Source organism: Homo sapiens, chromosome 12 (genome assembly GCF_000001405.40).
Source record: "Homo sapiens chromosome 12, GRCh38.p14 Primary Assembly".
NCBI lineage: Eukaryota > Metazoa > Chordata > Mammalia > Primates > Hominidae > Homo > Homo sapiens.
This window is the reverse complement of record NC_000012.12, coordinates 77,202,109-77,220,866: the sequence shown is the minus strand read 5'-3', so window position 1 is coordinate 77,220,866 and position 18,758 is coordinate 77,202,109. Positions and strand designations below refer to the sequence as shown.

The window sequence follows — 18,758 nt, the reverse complement described above, 5'->3', positions numbered from 1 at the left end:
AGGGTATAAGGGAAATTACATCATTCTTTTTTCTTCTTCTTCATTTCTCATGAGATATTCCTCTCATTGACCACATAGAAATAAGAGTAGCCTGGCTGAGACAAGTTACCCAGTGGGCCAAGGTTGATTTAACTGCTCTGGCTGAGAGGCAGCCTCTCTGTTTTTCCATCCTGCCTATTCATTGACACCTTGTAGAAAATGAGCACTCCCCCAAAAAAAGAAAATGAGTCCAGTGCCCTGGACAACTGAGACCAGCCTTCAAAACCCACATGTAGAAACTGGTACCATTTCTACAGGTTATTATTTAATGAAATATAGCACTCCAGAAAACTAAAAAGCCCCCTTATTCTAGTTTTAAAAAAGTTCTTCTTCAGTGTTTGAATAAATAAAAAGTGTTAGCTCTAGGAAATGCTCACACTGAATAACATAGCAGCCATCATAGATAGCTTGAATGATTTAACTTAACACACATTTGACATCAAGGGAATTATCTATCACCTTCATCTATCACAAGATGAAGTCACTTAGTCCACACATTATGATTAGACATTTATTATTCTCTTTTCCTGTGACTAAGAAGACTTTTTTTTCTTCTTGGTAAAGAATACAGAGAATCTTTGGGATAATGTGTCCATACTTACTTTTCTCTTGCTGTAAAATGTATTATCTATTTGTTTATATGTTAATTTGGAAAAACAAATAATTTCTAGTGGAAATGTACTTCTATGCCTAGGAACAACATTTACAGAATTCCTACATTCAGAGAATTGAGACACTACTTCAATAGTGTCTAAATTACTTAAGTAATCAACTTGTAATAATCAGAAATTTCCCAAAGCTCAAAGCCCTATTTTAATATTACTATATTTTATATTTTCTAAATATTGAATGATAATTGTACTGGTATTATATGCAATACTATATAACGAAATTAGAGAGATTTCCCCATTGTGGTAGTCAGGATAAATCATCTGGCCTTTGATAAGATTGGCCACCTCATTGAGCCTTGGAGTAGCCCAGGCCTGAATAATACATATAACTTTTCTGTTTGCAGGCCTTTTGTGAAGTTGCTCTGTTATCTCTGTGGCCCCAAAGACCAAAATGATGGAGAAAATGAAACCAGGATGATTTCTGACATCTGCTTCCACTCCACCTTCTTTAACCACTTCATCCACATCTCTCTTAGCTTCTCACATAAGTCTCACCTGGAATCATCTTATTTACACCAATAAATTTACCTACCACCTGCCTGTTGATTGCCAAATGTGTACCTTCAGATATTTTTTCTATGCTCCAAGCTGATATATCTGACAATCTATTGCTCAACTCAACCTGGATCCCCACAGACAAACCAAACTTAACCTTACCAAAGCAAAAATCATTGTCTCTCCCTCTCCGAACTCTTCTGCTCCTGTGTTCTCTCTGACAGTGCAGCATGTCAATCCAGATAGAAGCCTGGGAGTTTTTCCAGACACCTCCAAATCCTTCCCTCACCCATATCCATTCCCTGACAGAATCCTGTCAGTTTGACTTTCTTAACATATCTCATATCTGTCCCCACACAGAGTTACAATAATAGGGGTGAAAACCTGCCTACTGGGTACTATGCTCACTACCTGGATGGCAGGTTCAATCATACTCCAAACCTCAGTATCACACAACATACCTTTGTAACAAACCTGTGTGTGTACTCTCTGATTCTAAAATAAAAGCTGAAAGAGAAAAACAAAAACAAAAAACAAAACTAGCCAAAATGTGAAGAAAAAAAAAAGATCTGTACTCATGGATACAGTTGAAACAAAGAAAAATATGGTCAGATCCACTTGGGGGGCAAAGGAAGTCAGGAAAGATCTTCTGGAGAAGGTGACTGAGCAGAGGCTTAAACGGAGGTTGGCATGGAGGCCTTGGCAGGCAGTGACAGCAACAAAACCAAGGGCTCAGCAAGACAAATTTCAAGCCCTTCAGGATGGGTGGAACATAAAGCTGTGTGCAAGTGTGATGCAAGTGATGCAAGAATGGAAAGAAAAGCAGTAGGTAGGGTCTAGGAATTTTAGGTTTGTCCTCAAAGGCAGTGTGGAGCCACTGCAGGGATTAAAATAGAGGAACAACAAAATCAGAACTACCTTTTAGAAAGCTCTCTAGTACAGTGTGGAGGGTAGATGAAATGGGACAAGACTGGAAGTAGGAAGCTGTCGCTATAATCCAGGTGACAGGAAATGCCAGTCTGAGCTACCAGGGTAGCTGCAGGGACGGCAACAGACAGGGGTGGTGAGGAGGAGGCGAGACTCTAACCCCCACTCTGGCCCTAACTAGAGCAGCTTTGCCCTTATCGGTCATGAATGTTAAGCTTTCACATAAGCTTTTCATTTGAGAAAAGGTCTTGTGGTCTACATGGTAAAACATGGCCCACAAGGCCCTCAGGGATACAAATTCTGACAAGCTACTCCACCTCTTCTCTCTCCCTCCATGCGTGACCTTCCCCCTCCAGCTACAGTCCCTGCCTGTGGTTTACCCCACACGCTATTTGCACTCTTTCCTGCTGCTGCACGTGTCTGCTTGCTTTGCCTGCTCCCTTATCCCAGTCTCTTGTCCTTCACTGCTTAGCCAAGGGCCCCTTCCAAGAAGCCCTCTCTGATCCCCTCAAATCCTCAACTTTCATCACTACCCAGCTTATTCTACATCCTACACCCTATAAGATCAGCATCTTCCCTTACCTTCTCACCCTACCATGACACTGTGAACACTACACTTCTTGTCTAATCTGATTACTCAATGCTTAACACAAACTGGGCTTCCCTTTTTAATGTACAATTTGTTTGTATAGTTTTTAATCTCCCCCAAATAAATTCAGAACCCGAGGGCAGAGTGAATACCTTTCTGGGTTTTGTTTGTTGTAGAGGAAAAAAGATGTATCTTTCATTACATCTAGCTGTTCACTTTACTTACTTAAATTAGTTTAAAATCACACGTTGATTTAATTCATTCTGTGTGTCATATATCATCTGCACATATTTAACTGTCTCAATTATATTGGAAATTTGATGTCTTTATACATAGCCCATGTCACAAGAACATATTATAGGTGATATCATGTTATAATGGTATATATAACATATATAGGTGACATCATGTTATAATGAAATTCTTTCCCATTCTTTCATTGACAGGTGTCCAAAACTTTTCTGAAAAAGCTCTAGGATAGACATATGTATTAGTCCATTTTCACACTGCTGATAAAGACATACCCGAGACTGGGAAGAAAAAGAGGTTTAATTGGACTTACAGTTCCACATGGCTGGGGAGGCCTCAGAATCATGGTAGGAGGTGAAAGGCACTTCTTACATGGAGGCGGCAAGAGAAAATGAGGAAGAAGCAAAAGCAGAAACCCCTGATAAAACTGTCAGAACTCATAAGATTTATTCACTACCATGAGAACAATATGGGGGAAACCACCCCCATGATTCAATTATCTTCCACAAGGTCCCTCCCACAAACGTGGGAATTATGGGAACACATTTTAAGATGAGATTTGGGTCGGGACACAGCCAGACCATATCATGCTGCCCCTGGCCCCTCCAAATCTCATGTTCTCACATTTCAAAACCAATCACACCTTCCCAACAGTCCCCCAAAGTCTTAACTCATTTCAGCATTAACCCAACAGTCCATAGTCCAAAGTATCATCTGAGACAAGGCAAGTCCCTTCCACCTATGAGCCTATAAAATCAAAAACAAGCTAGTTTCTTTGTAGATACAATGGGGGTATAGGTATTGGGTAAATACAGCCATTCCAAATGGGAGAAATTGGCCAAAACAACAGGTTTACAGGGCCCATGCAAGTCTGAAATCCAGCAGGGCAGTCAAGTTTTAAAGCTCCAAAATGATCTCCTTTGACTCCAGGTCTCACATCCAGGTCATGCTGATGCAAGAGATGGGTTCCCATGGTCTTAGGCAGCTCTGACCCTGTGGTGTTGCAGCATACAGCCTCCCTCCCAGCTGCTTTCATGAGCTGACATTGAGCATCTGTGGCTTTTCCAGGTGAACAGTGCAATCTTTTGGTGGATCTACCATTCTGGGGTCTGGACGACAGTAGCCCTCTTCTCACAGCTTCACTAGGTGGTGTCCCAGTAGGGACTCTGTGTGGGGGCTCTGAGCCCACATTTCCCTGTGCACTGCCCTAGCAGAGGCTCTCTATGAGCACCCTGCCCCTGCAGCAAACTTCTGCCTGGGCATCCAGGCATTTCCATACATCTTCTGAAATCTAAGCGGAGCTTCCCAAACCCCAATTCTTGACTTTTGTGCACTCACAGGCTCATCACTGTGTGGAAGCTGCCAAAGCTTGAGGTTTGCACCCTCTGAAGCCATGGCCTGAGCTCTACATTGGCCCCTTTCAGCCACAGCTGGAGTGGCTGGGACACAGGGCACCAAGTCTCTAGGCTGCACACAGCATGGGAACCCTGGACCCAGCCCACGAAACCATTTTCTCCTAGGCCTCGGGGCCTGAGATGAGAGGGGCTGCCACAATGGTCTCTGACATGCCCTTGAGACATTTTCCCCATTGTCTTGGGGATTAACATTTGGCTCCTGTTTACTTATGCAAATTTCTGCAGCTGACTTGGATTTCTCCTTAGAAAATTGGTTTTTCTTTTCTATCACATTGTCAGGCTGCAAATTTTCTGAGCTTTTATGCTCCACTTCCCTTATAAAACTGAATGCCTTTAATAGCACCCAAGTCACCTCTTGAATGCTTTGCTGCTTAGAAATTTCTGCTGCCAGATACCCTAAATCATCTCTCTCAAGTTCAAAGTTCCAGAAATCTCAAGGTCAGGGGCAAAATGCCACCAGTCTCATTGCTAAAACATAACAAGAGTCACCTTTGCTCCAGTTTCCAACAAGTTCCTCATCTCCATCTGAGACCACCTCAGCCTGGACCTTATTGTCCATATCACTATCAGGCTTTTGGTCAAAGCCATTCAACAAGTCTCTAGGAAGTTCCAAACTTTCCCACATTTTCCTGTCTTCTTCTGAGCCCTCCAACTGTTCCAACCTCTGCCTGTTACCCAGTTCCAAATGTGCTTCCACATTTTCAGGTATATTTTCAGCAACACCCCACTCTTCTGGTACCAATTTACTGTATTAGTCCATTTTCACATTGCTGATAAAGACATACCTGAGACTGGGAAGACAAAGAGGTTTAATTGGACTTACAGTCCCACGTGGCTGGGGAGGCCTCAGAATCATAGTGGGAGGCAAAAAGCACTTCTTACATGGCAGTGGCAAGAGAAAATGAGGAATAAGCAAAAGCAGAAACCCCTGATAAAACCATCAGATCTCATGAGACTTATTCACTACCATGAGAACAGTATGGGGAAAACCACCCCCATGATTCAAATTATCTCCCACCAGGTCCCTCCCACAACACATGGGAATTATGGGAGTATAGTTCACCATGAGAATTGGGTGGGGACACAGCCAAACCATATCAACATATGTGATATTGCTAGGGACTGAATTGTGTCCTCCCCAAAATTCATACGTTGAAGTTCTAATTTCCAATGTGATTGTATTTAGAAATAGGGCTTTTAGGAGATAATTAAGGTTACGTGAGATAATAGAGATGGGTTCCTAATCTGATAGGATTGCTCTTCTTATAAAAAGAAAGAGAGAGAGAAAGAGAGAGATTTCTCTAGGAATAGGACATGTGAGCACATAGCAGGAAGGCAGGAAGCTAACCAGGAAGACAGCCCTTGTTAAAACTGGACCATGCTGACACCCTGTAGGGAACTTCCAGCCTCCAGAATCATGAGAAAACAAATTCTGTTGTTTAAGCCACTCAGTCTATAGAATTTTGTTATGGCAGCCTGAGCTGAGTAATACATATACCAAATTTAGGGCTATAGGAAAGCTTCAGGATAATGGATTTCAGATTGTGCAAAGGCTTTGTTATGAGGAATCCATTTGGAAAATAGCCATAGATGCTAAATGCCATCACATTTACTTGACCTGGCAATTCACAACCCATACATTCAACATAAATAACAACAGATTGGATGAGAAAAGAATACTTTTATATATACACTCTCAAATTTTAGTTAATCAAAATACTTGGGACAAAAATCGAAGCACTTGATAAAAAGAGTTGATTCAGATGTACTCTTTCCCTGAAGGTAACACAATAGTTTCCCTCTTCCCAAATCAATTCCCAGTGAATAATAGGACAATTTGTCACTTTCTAGACATTGGGGAAAAGGTTGTAGTTTTCATGTAATAGCATCATAGATATCCAAGACCATACAGAAAGTAAATGATACTGGAAAGTTGGAACTCCATCTCAGCACTAATTAAAACCATTGCCTTGGTCATATGCATAGGAAAAAAGAAAACAAAAAGAAATACATCTCAAAAGTTTTCCTCCTATAGACCAACTAAATTCTGTTTTAACTTGTAGGATTTCTGATGCAAAGGCCTGATAGAAGTTATCTGGCCACAGAACAGAAAGGTTTTCTTTGATATACCTGACACATAATGTAAGTATGCTTTTACTGAATATTCCCAATGACAGCAAACTCACTATCTTATGAGTCAACAAATTCCACCGTGGAATAGCTAAATCTTACAATCTTAAATTAAACCAAAAGATGTGTTTTTTTGTTTAAAGACTTTTTCACAAATTCTCTTTTGAAGCAATGTGAAATATTTAGAGTATGAAAGCAGTCATCACCAAATTTAATGTAGCCTATTTTTTATTTTTGCCTTTCTGGTCGAACTCTTTGTATATTCATTTATAATGTTAATTTTTTCAGTTGTATTACAGCACAGGAAAACTAAGCCTATGTATTATTATCACTTTGATAAATGAGACTATGAAAGTGATTAACAGCTTTTAAAATAGTTCACAGCAAAGCTCAGCCTTTAAAAAAAATTAATTTGCAATAAAAGAAATGAGAAATGCATTGGATCCTCACCTTCTCTTCTTTAGAGTTTTTCCCTTGATAATTAATGACTTAGACCTGCTACAGTTTGACATGGGAGAGAGGATGAGAGAAAGAACTGTTGATCCCCTTAAAAAAGAATACATGAGTTTATTGTCCCACCAAATTCTCAAAAGAGTCTGAGAATCAGAAAAGGTTAAGAATCACTGAAGGGAAGAGCCTTCAATAAAAATGAGACTTTAGAAATAAAGGGTTAAATGTAATCACAGCCACCAAATTGCTTTAGAGATAGCAATAAGGAAATTTCATTGGACTTTCAACCTCTGTAGACAATGGAAGGTGTTTGTTCAGTTAACTTTTCCGAAAAACGACTTCCTGCCAAGCAGTAGGCTGCAACACTTGCACACAATAGTCTGCACTTCCCACACAAGCCACTGCGAAAATCTGGATTTCCGTGGACTGTTTCTGAGGAGTGCCATTATATTAGAGTCAAGAAAAAAAGTGGGAGGGAGGAGGGAAACACTGCATTCAATTCTCTTGCAATCTATTTTTAACACGCCTGAGAAGGTTTTGAGCTATTAATGTAATGAGGCTAGACTCAAAAACAAAAAAAGACCAGCAGGGCAGCAAAGGCCCAACATGGAGGGAGGGGGGTTAATTCCTTAAGGATGTTGACAACTGTTTCAATATCACATGAGATGTTTACATTGCCCATCAATGTATGTTTAATTTGAGGAAATCCTGATTAAAAAGAAAATGTGTAATGTGAGTGAATTAGCTTTCCCCCGGTACTGTTTTTCAGTCAAGGGGAGTGTTTCATAACTCTCTGCTGTCCATCCACTGAATTTTATGTCTTACATATTTATCAGGAGAAATTGCTGCAATCCTCCATGCTGGTGGTGCTCTAGACTCTTTTAAAAAAAATGAGGAAAATATATACATATAAAATTTACCTTCTTTACCAGTTTTAAGCCTACAGTTCAGTGGTAATAAATATATTTATATTCTCTTTTTTTCCTTCATTCTCTCCTCCCTTCCCAGCCTTTCATAACCACCACTTTACTATCTTCACAAGATTCACTTTTTTACCTTCCACATATGAATGAGAACACACAATATTTGATCTAAGTTTTTTTTTCCCCGTAAAAAATATGGTCCCAGCTACTTGGAAGGTTGAGACAGGAGGATCACTTGAGCCCATGAGTTCATAGGCTACATAATGAGACCCTGTCTCTAAAAAGAGATAGATAGATAGATAGATAGATAGATAGATAGATAGATAGATAGATTTGATCAACACAGCTGTGATTCAGGATAGGTATTGATTGCTAGAACACTCAAGAAACAACAGCTTGTGCCAGTGTAGCATCACTTAAGTTCAAGATGTACCAAATTTTATGACACTGTGGAAGCTATATAGTAATGCCCTGCTGTTAAATTTCAAAAAGATAATACAATCAACAGCCACCACTTAGTGAAAAGTTGGGAATCTTAGGAGTATTTTTTAAATGTATTTCTCTAGGATACAAAATTAACATACAAAAATCAGTAGCATTTTTATATGTCAACAGCAAACAATTTAAAAAAGAAATCAAGAACGTAATCTCATTTACAATAACTACAAATAAAATAGCTTTGAAATAAACTTAATCAAATAAGTGAAATAACTTTACAATGAAAACTATAAAACATTGATGCAAGAAATTGTTAAAGGACACAATAAAATGGAAACAGATTCCATGTTCATGAATTGGAACAATTAGTATTGTTAAAATCTCCATACTATCCAAAGCAATCTACAGATCCATTGCAACCCCTATCAAAATACCAGTGACATTCTTCATAGAAATAGAAAAAAGAATTATAAAATTTATATGGAACCACAAAAGACCCAAAATAGCCAAAGCCATTGTGAACAAAAGAACAAAACTGGAGGAATCACATTACTGACTTCAAATTATACTACAGAGCTATAGTAATCAAAACAGCATGGAACTGGCATAAACACAGACACACAGATCAATGAAACAGAATACAAAACCCAGAAATAAATTCGTACATCTATGGTGAACTCATTTTTGACAAAGGTGCAAAGAATACACACCAAGGAAAGGAGAGTCTCTTCAATAAATGGTGCTGGGAGAACTGGATATCCATATGCAGAAGAATGAACTGAGCCCACTCTCTCTTACCATATATAAAAATCAAATCAAAATGAATTAAAGACTTAAATCTAAGATCTCAACCTAAGAAACTACTAAAAGAAAACATTAGAGAAACTCTCCAGGACCTTGATCTTGGCAAAGATTTGAGTAATGCCCCACAAGCACAGGCAACCAAACCAAAAATGGACAAATGGGATCACATCAAGTTAAAGAGCTTCTGCACAGCAAAGGAAACAACAAAGTAAAGTAACAACCCACAGAATGGGAGAAAATATTTGCAAATTATACATCTGACAAAGGATTAATAACCAGAATATATAAGGAGCTCAAATAATTCCATAGACAAACTAAAAAACTGATTTTAAAATGGGCAAATGATCTGAATGGACATTTCTGAAAAGAAGAAATACAATTGGCAAACAAGTACGTGAAAAGGTGCCCAAGATCATTAATCATCAGAGAAATGCAAATCAAAACTACAATGAGATACCATATCACCCCAATTAAAATGGCTTTTATCAAAAAGACAAGCAATAACAAATGCTGGCATGGATGTGTAGAAAGGGGAACCCCTGTACACGGTTGGTAGAAATGTCAATTAGTACAACCACTATAGAGAACAGTATGGAGGTTTCTCAAAAAAACTAAAAACAGAACTACCACATGATCCAGCAATCCCACTGCTTGGTATATACACCAAAGAAAGGACATCATATAATAAAGAGATATCTGCACTCCCATGTTTACTGCTGCAATATTCACAATAGCCAAGATTTGGAAGCAGCCTAAGTGTTCACAACAAATGAATGGATAAAGAAAATGTGGTACATGTACACAATGGAGTACTATTCAGCCATGAAAAAGAATGAGATCCTATCATTTTCAACAACATGGATGGAACTAGAGGACATTATGTTAAGTGGAATAAGCCAGACATGAAAAGACAAACTTTGCATGTTCTCACTCATTTGACGGAGCTAAAAATTAAAGCAAAAATTGAACTCATGGAAAGAGAGAATAGAATGATGGTTACCAGAGACTGAGAAGGCTAGCGGGGAAGAGGGGTGAAGTGAGGATGGTTAATGGGTATAAAAATATAGTTAGAATGAATAAGATCTAGTTTTGATAGAATAACAAGGCAACTACAGTTAACAATAATTTATTGTAAATTTGAAAATAGTGGAAAGAGTATAATTGAAATGTTTGTAACACAAAATGACAAATATTGAGGTGATGGATCTTTCACTTACCCTGATGTGATTATCACACACCATATACCTGTATCAATATATCTCATGTACCTTATCAATGTATATACCTACTATGTACCCATAAAAAATTTTAAGTTTAAAAATTTTTGTAAAGATTTCTCACAAGTTCTTCCTCTCTTCATTTTGTGAAAGGCCAGCTTGCCAGCCTGCCTTCTAGCAAGCTAAGCAGGTATTAATTAAGAAAATTATAGTCATAGGAGTAGCAATAGTAGTAATAGCAACTAGAATTTATTAAGTACTTGCTAGTGATTAAATACTAAGCACTTTACAAATGGCATCTTTTTTCAACTGTATTTTTCCCAACTGCATGTGATAAAAGTGAGGTTCAGAAAAGTTAGTTACTTGCTGAGACAATACTGCTAGTAAGAGATGGAGCTGAAATTTAAATCAAATTCCATCATACTCCAAATTCCCATGCCCTTAACCCCGTGCTATACAGCCACACCTTGTTTTATTGTGCTTTGCTTAATTGCACTTCTCAGATATTGCATATTTTTACAAATTGAAGGTTCGTAGCAACTCTGTATCGAGCAAATCTAATCTACTCGTGCCATTCTTCCAACAGCATGTGCTCACATGGTGTCTCTGTGTCACATTTTGGTAATTCTTGTAATATATCAAAAGTGTCAGTTATTATATCTGTTATGGTGATGTGTGATCAATGATCTTTAATATTGCTATTATAATTGTTTTGAGGCTCCACAGACTGCACTCATATCAGATGGCAAGCTTAATTGAGAAATGTGTGCGTTTTGACTGCTCCACCAGCCAGCCATTTCCCAGTCTCTCTTCCTCTCCATGTCTTTTTCTCTGCTTGGGCCTTCCTATTCCCTGGGACACAACAATATTGAAATGAGACCATTTAATATCCCTACAGTGGCCTGTAAGCATTCCAGTAAAAGGAAAAGTCACATGTCTCTCACTTTAAATCAAAAGCTAGGAATGATTAAGCTTTGTAAGGAAGGCATGTAAAAAGCTGAGATATGCTGAAATCCAGGCCTCTTAGATCAGACAGTTAGCCAAGTGGTGAACGCAGAGGAAAAAGTTCTGCAATGACATTAAAAGTGATACTCCGGTGAATATCCAAATGATAAGCAAATGAAACAGCCTTACTGCTGATATAGAGAAACTTTCAGTGGTCTGGATAGATCAAACCAGCCATAATATTCCCTTAAGGCCTAATCCAGAGCAAGGCCCTAACTCTCTTCAGTTCTGTGAAGCCTAAGAGAGTTGAGGAAGCTGCAGACAGAAAGTTTGAAGGTAGCAGAGGTTGGTTCGTGAGGTTTAAGGAAAGAAGCTGTCTCTGTAACATAAAAGTGCAAGATGAGGCAGCAAGTGCTGATGGAGAAGCTGCCGCAAGTTATCCCAAGACCTACTGAGGTTAATTGATAAAGGTGGCTACACTAAACAACAAGTTTTCATTGTAGACAAAATAGCTTTATATTGGAAGAAGATGTCATCTAGGACTTTCATAGTTAGAGAGAGGAAGTCAAAGTCTAGCTTTAAAGCTTCAAAGGACACGCTGACTTTCTCGTTAAGGGCTAAATACAGCTGGTGACTTTAAGTTGAAGCCAATGTTCATTGATCATTCTGAAAATCCTGGGGCCTTTAAGAATTATGCTAAATCTATTCTGCCTATGCTCTATAAATGGAATAACAAAGTCTGGATGATAGCATATCTGTTTACAGCATGGTTTACTGAATAGATTAAGGCCATCGTTGAGATTAGTGCTCAAGAAAAAGACATTTCTTTCAAAATATTACTGCTCACTGGCAATGCACCTGGTCCCCCAAGGGCTCTGATAGAGATGTACAAGGAGATTAACGTCGTTCCCATGCCTGCTAACACAACATCCATCTTCAGCCCATGGGTCAAGGAGTAATTTGGACTTTCAAGTCTTATTATTTAAGAAATACATTTCATAAGGCTATAGCTATCATAGACAATGATTCAACTGACACATCTAAGAAAAGTAAATTGAAAACCTTCTGGAAAGAATTTATCAGAAGTCTAGATGCCATTCAGAAAATTCATGATTCATAGGAGGGGGACAAAATATCAACATTTACCAGATTCTGAAAGAAGTTGATTCCAACCCTCATTGATGACTTTGAGGGCTTCAAGACTCCAGTGGAAGAAGACATTGCAGATGTGGTATAAATAGCAAAGAACTTGAATTAGAAGTGGAGCCTGAAGATGTGACTGAATTGCTGCAATCTCATGATAAAACTTGAACAGATGAGGAGTGAACAAAAGTGAAGGAGCAAAGAAAGTGGTTTCTTGAGACGGAATCTACTCCTGGTGAGGATGTGGTGAACGTTGTTCCACTGACAACAAAAGATTTAAAATATTATGTAAACATAGTTGATAAAGCAGCTGTAGCGTTTGAGAGAATTCATTCCAATTTTGAAAGGAGTTCTACTGTGGGTAAAATGCTGTCAAACAGCAGTTCATACTGGAGAGAAATATTTCACGAAAGAGAGAGTCAATCAATGCAGCAAACTTCATTGTCTTATTTTTAAGAAATTGCAACAGCCACCCCACCCCACCCTTCAGCAACCATCACCCTGATCAGTCAGCAGCCATCAAAATTGAGGCAAGACTTTCCACCAGCAAAAACATTGTGCCTTGCTGAAGGCCCAGATGATCATTAGCATTTATAGCAATAAAGTATTTTTACATTAATATATGTATTTTGTTTTTTAATACATAATGCTACTGAATACTTAATAAAATACAGTATAGTAAACATAAGTTTTATATGCACTGGGAAATAAAAAATTTCATGTGACTTACTTTATTGCAATATTCTCTTTATTGCAGTGGTCTGGAACCAAACCCACCATCTATCTGAGATATGCCTGTGCTACTTTCATCCATAGTCCTGTTACAACTTGTGATGGTCATCTCAGACTTAAAGCTATCATTCAGTCCACAAGAAGCAACTTCTGAAATGACTCCAGCTCCTCTAACTGGAGTTTAATAATTTGGCAAATACCTGATGTCTTACTAGTATTATTCTGGCTACAATTGTTACTGCTGCTGTTTCAGTATCCTGACCAGTACCCTATGAAATAGGACAGCAACATTTTTTTAACTAGGGGCTTATTAATTAGATTCCTTATTGTGGTTTCATCATAAATCTACAGGTGCAGTAAAATAAATCATTAAAATGTCTAAAGAAGTAGTAAAAGTTGAACTCATCTTAAAGCTCAAGAATAGTGAGAAATGAGAGTCCTTGGCAACACTTTAGCTTGAGACAGGATGAAAAATAAAATTTGCCCAGATTTGTGCAGAGACGTATGGAACTGATTTCTAGGATGTGATTCCCATACCCAGTCTCCATTCTCAACTCTCAGCTTCTCAAATTCCTCTCCTTGGCCCACTTGTCTTCTGTTTTGACTCTCCCCTGCCCACATATCCTTATGCCACAAGATATACTAGGACACAAATTCTGCCTACTAAGAAATGGACAATCCCAATAATATTAAAATAAACAGAAAAAACTCTCTGAGATTTCTATGCCTACCTGAAATAATTTTTTAAAGTTGTTTTGTTTTCATTAAACAAGTCATATATGTTGTACATTATTTAGGAACTATAGAAAATATAAAGAAAGTGGAAATCACCCACATTCATAGAAACTGGAGATATCCATCACTGATATTTTCTATACTTCTTTCTGGTATTTTTTTCCATGTTTACACTGATTAGTCTATTCATTTAGCAAAAATTTAGCACTTACTATGTGCCAGGCAATGTGCTAGGTGTTGCGGATACAACAGTAAAGAAAACAGACATGAATTTCTAACCAAATGGAACTTATATTTTAGATGGTGAGAACAGACCATAAACCCCCAAAATGAATAAGCTGTATAGTATATTAGAAGGTGGTAAGCGCTATGGAGAAAAATATAGCAGAGAAGACGGATGCAATGTGTTGGCCTGAGTGAAGGTTGTTATTTTAAATAGGATGAGTCAGTCACTAAGAAGGTAACATTTTAGCAGAAACATGAAATGGGTGAGGGACAAAGCCACATAGGTATGTCATGGAACAACTTCAAACTCATGTGAATACAAAAGATTTATTTCTTGTTCACAATTTTGTGGGTGATCTGTGTAGCTTTGTTTCAGGTGGCAGTCACTGGGGTGGTTTTTCTCTATGTGTCCCTTACCTTTCACCTGAGACCAGTGGATTGCCAGGGGTTTGTACATCTCATGACAAAGACAGAAGCACAAAAAGGTAAGACTTATAACTCAAGCATATTTCAAGCATTTGCTTGAACCAAGCCTGGCAATGTACCATTTGCCAAAGCAAGTCATATGGCCAGGGCCAAGTCATGTGGCCAGGGTGAAATGATGAGAAGGGTCAGGGTGAAGGAAGGAAGTAAATATTTCTAAGCAACTGTCTAATATATCACAGTTCTCTATATTGTTTATAAATATTTATATTCTTTTCCTGTGCAAAATATACTCACCCCCATCTCAAGTCTCCAAAAGTGTCTTGTCCATTGATAACATTTGGTTCAGAGTTCAAGATCTCATGGCCAACATAAAATCCTGTTGTGCTCCCTGTGTGATCCAGAGACCCATGATCTAAACAGATAAGTTACCGTCCCTCATTGCATTCAATATACAACAGTGGAACTGGGACGAGATACCCACAATAAACACTCGCACTTGAAAAAGGAAAGAATGAGAGGCGCATGGCAATTGCTCACTGGTCCTTAGCGATTCTGAAAGCCCATTGTCAATATGTTGCCATTTTATTCTGAGGGAAAAATATGTTCTTTGATTTGACCCAAGATCTGATCCCTGGGAGTCTCTTGCCTAGTGCATTGTTTTCCAAAGGTGTTGACAAAGCCCTTCGTGGGTACAGGTGAAGAGCTTTCCTTTTACATTCTCTTCCTTGGTCACTTCTGAAAAGAGCAGTAGAGAATTCACCACTCTTGAATCCTGAATAGCTTTCTTAGCCTGTTTTCTACCTACAGAATCTTAAGGAGTTATTTTATTACCTCATAAAGTATCAATTTGTTTTAGTCTAGGCTGGGGTTGTTTTGCCAATACCATTTTCTCATAAACTCTGGAGGCTTTCCATGTATTTGATTATAATAAAGGCTCTTTGTAAAAAAAACCACATGCATAATTTTTATTGTATACATTTAAGGTGTACAACATGATGTTTTGACATATACAGTAAAGTTATTACTATAGTCAAGGAAATTAGCATATCCATCATCTCATATAGTTACTTTTTTCTTTTCTGGTGCTAAGAGTATCTAAAATCTACCCTGTGACAAATTTCCAGTGTATAGTACAATATTATTAACTACAGTCCTCATGCTACTATTAGATTTCTAGATTTATTCAATCTTTATAATTGCAGCTTTGCACCTACAATTTCCCATTTCCTCCACCCCCTGCCCCTGGTAACTACCATTCTACTCTCTGTTTCTATGTATTTAGTTTCTTTCTCTTTAGATTCCACATGTAAGTGAGATCATGGAGTATTTTTCTTTCTATTCTGGATCAATACCCACCCCACTCAAAAAAATAAATGAGATCACTTTGTAAAGATATTTGCCCTTCTTTGTTGATTATAGTATTATTCACAATAGCCAAGACATAAAAACAATTGAAGTATTCATCAATGTATGAATAATAAAGAAAACAGAATATCATTCAGCCTTTAAGTAGAAGGAATTCCTGCCATTTTTGACAATATGGACATCCCTAGAGGACAAAATGCTAAGAGAAATAAAGCAGGCACAATTCTTTCTGAGACACATCTGTCTTTCCATACTCAATTACATGTACTTTGCGTACATTAGCTTGCACACTTAATGCAATACAACAATAATCATTTATATCTTAATCGCAAGTTTGCAGGCCAATTGGGGTAGCTCTGCTTCAGTGTACAGCTTCACATCATGGGGAGGCTGGGGTGGCTCTGCTCCATGTGTCTTTTGTTCTCCTCCTGGGACCAGCAGGTTATCCAGATGTCATGTTTTCTCATGGCAATGGAAAAGTACAAGAGTGGCCTCCGAGTTAAATTGGAAATGAATGAAATGAATGAAAGTATGGGGGAAGCACATAGTTAAGCACATACTTAATCTCCTTGGCCCAGAAGTGGCACGTCACTTCAGTTCCTATTACACTTTACCAAAAGTGGTAACATCCTGCCTACATAGCTGCATAGGGGCTGGAAGATGCAGTTCTTGGCTGGGCAACTGCTTCTCAGCAACAGCTCCCCACTGTGGAAGGGGAGCTCATGTCTTTGTAACTCAACCAGCCATTTCTGCCACAATGGAGAATGTTTCAATTTCTAGCCTAGGTAGAAGAAAACACACAACAAAATATCTCCAGTGTGATGTCACTTTTGTGATCTAGAGAGAGAGCGAGGTGGGAAAGGTTATGTAGATATTAATGTAGATCTACATCTCAATCTAGATGAATAAAGAAAACCCTGAAATAATATATTCACAGTGGTTATTGTTGCATAGTGAGGTTACAGGTAGTTTCATTTTTTCACTTATATGCAAATATGAACAATTTATACTTTCAAACAATAAAGTATAATTTTTATAATGAGAAAATAATAAGGTACTGTTAAAAGTGCCAATGAATTTCTCTTTTGTGGTGCAGTGACATTTGCTGCTTTCTCTAAGAATCTATAGTAAGATACCATCATTCCTTCCTAACTTTTTCTTTAAAAGAGTTTATTGCTGGGTAAAAAAGTGTCATTTTTTATTTCTGTTATATCTTGAGGAAAATGATCATGCTTTGATTTTTGGTCGTCACTGTTTTGAGACTGCTTATAAAATACTACAGTGCTCTGGATATATTGATAGTTAAATAATTACCTCTCAGTACACAAAAAATGCAAGGATAATAGGCTTTTTTCCTGAAAATTTTAGCAGGGACTAATTCAGATGGCATTGGTGTCAAGCTCCACATCAACAGACATGTTCCCAAGAGATAGAAGAACCCAGGTAACATGAAAATGAATGTTCTTTCTCCTGTTGACCTATATTTTGAAAAGATTTGTATTGACAAATAGTCACTGTCATCTTACGTTGGGTCACTTCTACCCACAAAAGGAGGTTGAATGTGTGCCACTCAAACTACTCACTTAAGGTGCTTCTCAGGAGGGTAACTTGTAAACCATGGTTTCAGAATTTTCTTTATAAATGATTTCCTAGCAATAGTGAAACCGAAGGCTTCAGTCACCAGAAACCTAAATACATCATGAGTTCTTAGGTATTATTCCACGTTCAATTTGCCTAAATCTAATTTTTAGGCCTAGTCTTATCTTTCTGTCACAGAAACCTTGCCAATTATCTCCTATAAGGAGAATGCTCTTCAGAGTATTATAAAGAAAATATGGTTTACAAAACAAATTAGCAACAGTCTATTTCCTCAAGGAGGTTAACATCTAATTGGAAAATCATATGTAGAAAATTACCTAGAGACTACAATAATAATATTATTAATATGGTCACATTTTATGCAAAAGCAAGAAATCTTTCTCATGGGGCTCTCATTCTCCCTCTGAATCATCCGAATTCCTGCAGATACATGCAGTGCAACAGGAGATTTGTCTGCCTTCTCCTGCCTATTGGAAAGATCATTTATGTCCACATCATATATAGTGGCTAGTCACAGAGTCTCCAGAGAGACTGCCTGGGTTTGAATTCTGGTTCTGTCACTTTTTCAATTGGGTAATTTACTACCTCTTTTGGCTTCAGTTACCTCACCTATAAAATATGTAATGAGAATTAAATGAGTCAATTCATGAAAACAGATTAGAATTGTGCAGTATGTAGTAAATGCACAATAGATGTCAGCTATTAACATGTTGCTTCCATCTGCCACATGGTGTTATTGTTGAAAACTTGTCCTCCGAAGTCTGACAGATGAAGCTGCCCACTCTACAATGAAATGCCACCAGCTATTAACATGCAGGACACCTCAGTTCTTTAGAGTAGAACCACCCTACTTCTTCAGAGCTAAGGTTGGCAAAGAATGTCCTACACTTGAGTCCCCAGGGTTGCAGTTTTGCCTTATCAGCTCATTAGGGGTCACTCCCTACCCTCTCACAGAGTAATGGCCAGCATTCACAGTGCTTGATTAGGTGTGGATCAGATGGTTACCCCTTCAAAGACCCTAAATACTGCCCCTTTTGCTTCCTACAGGAGATCCATGTAGCAGTCTAGACGATTTTTTAAAATCACAAGTTCATGGCACATGAAAGATGTGATTGCATCTCTTTTCTTTGGAAAATGTGGTTTCTCAATAATTCTGACAGATCACTCCCTTGTTCCAACGAGGGAGACTTCATAAAGGAGCTGCCTTCTGTGACTCAAAGGTGATTACTCTCTAACGAAGT

General features: G+C 38.2%; 1 long non-coding RNA gene across 6 annotated transcripts in view; it reads left to right on the top strand.

Moving 5' to 3' along the window:
- LINC02464 (long intergenic non-protein coding RNA 2464) overlaps window positions 1–1,264 on the top strand; it is a 97,632-nt gene extending 96,368 nt beyond the window's left edge. For all 6 annotated transcript variants that reach the window (NR_187539.1, NR_187543.1, NR_187542.1 and 3 more), the window contains one exon: window positions 1,055–1,264. This is a non-coding gene — a long non-coding RNA (long intergenic non-protein coding RNA 2464). The remainder of the gene's footprint in view (window positions 1–1,054) is intronic.
- Window positions 1,265–18,758: the final 17,494 nt, after the last annotated feature.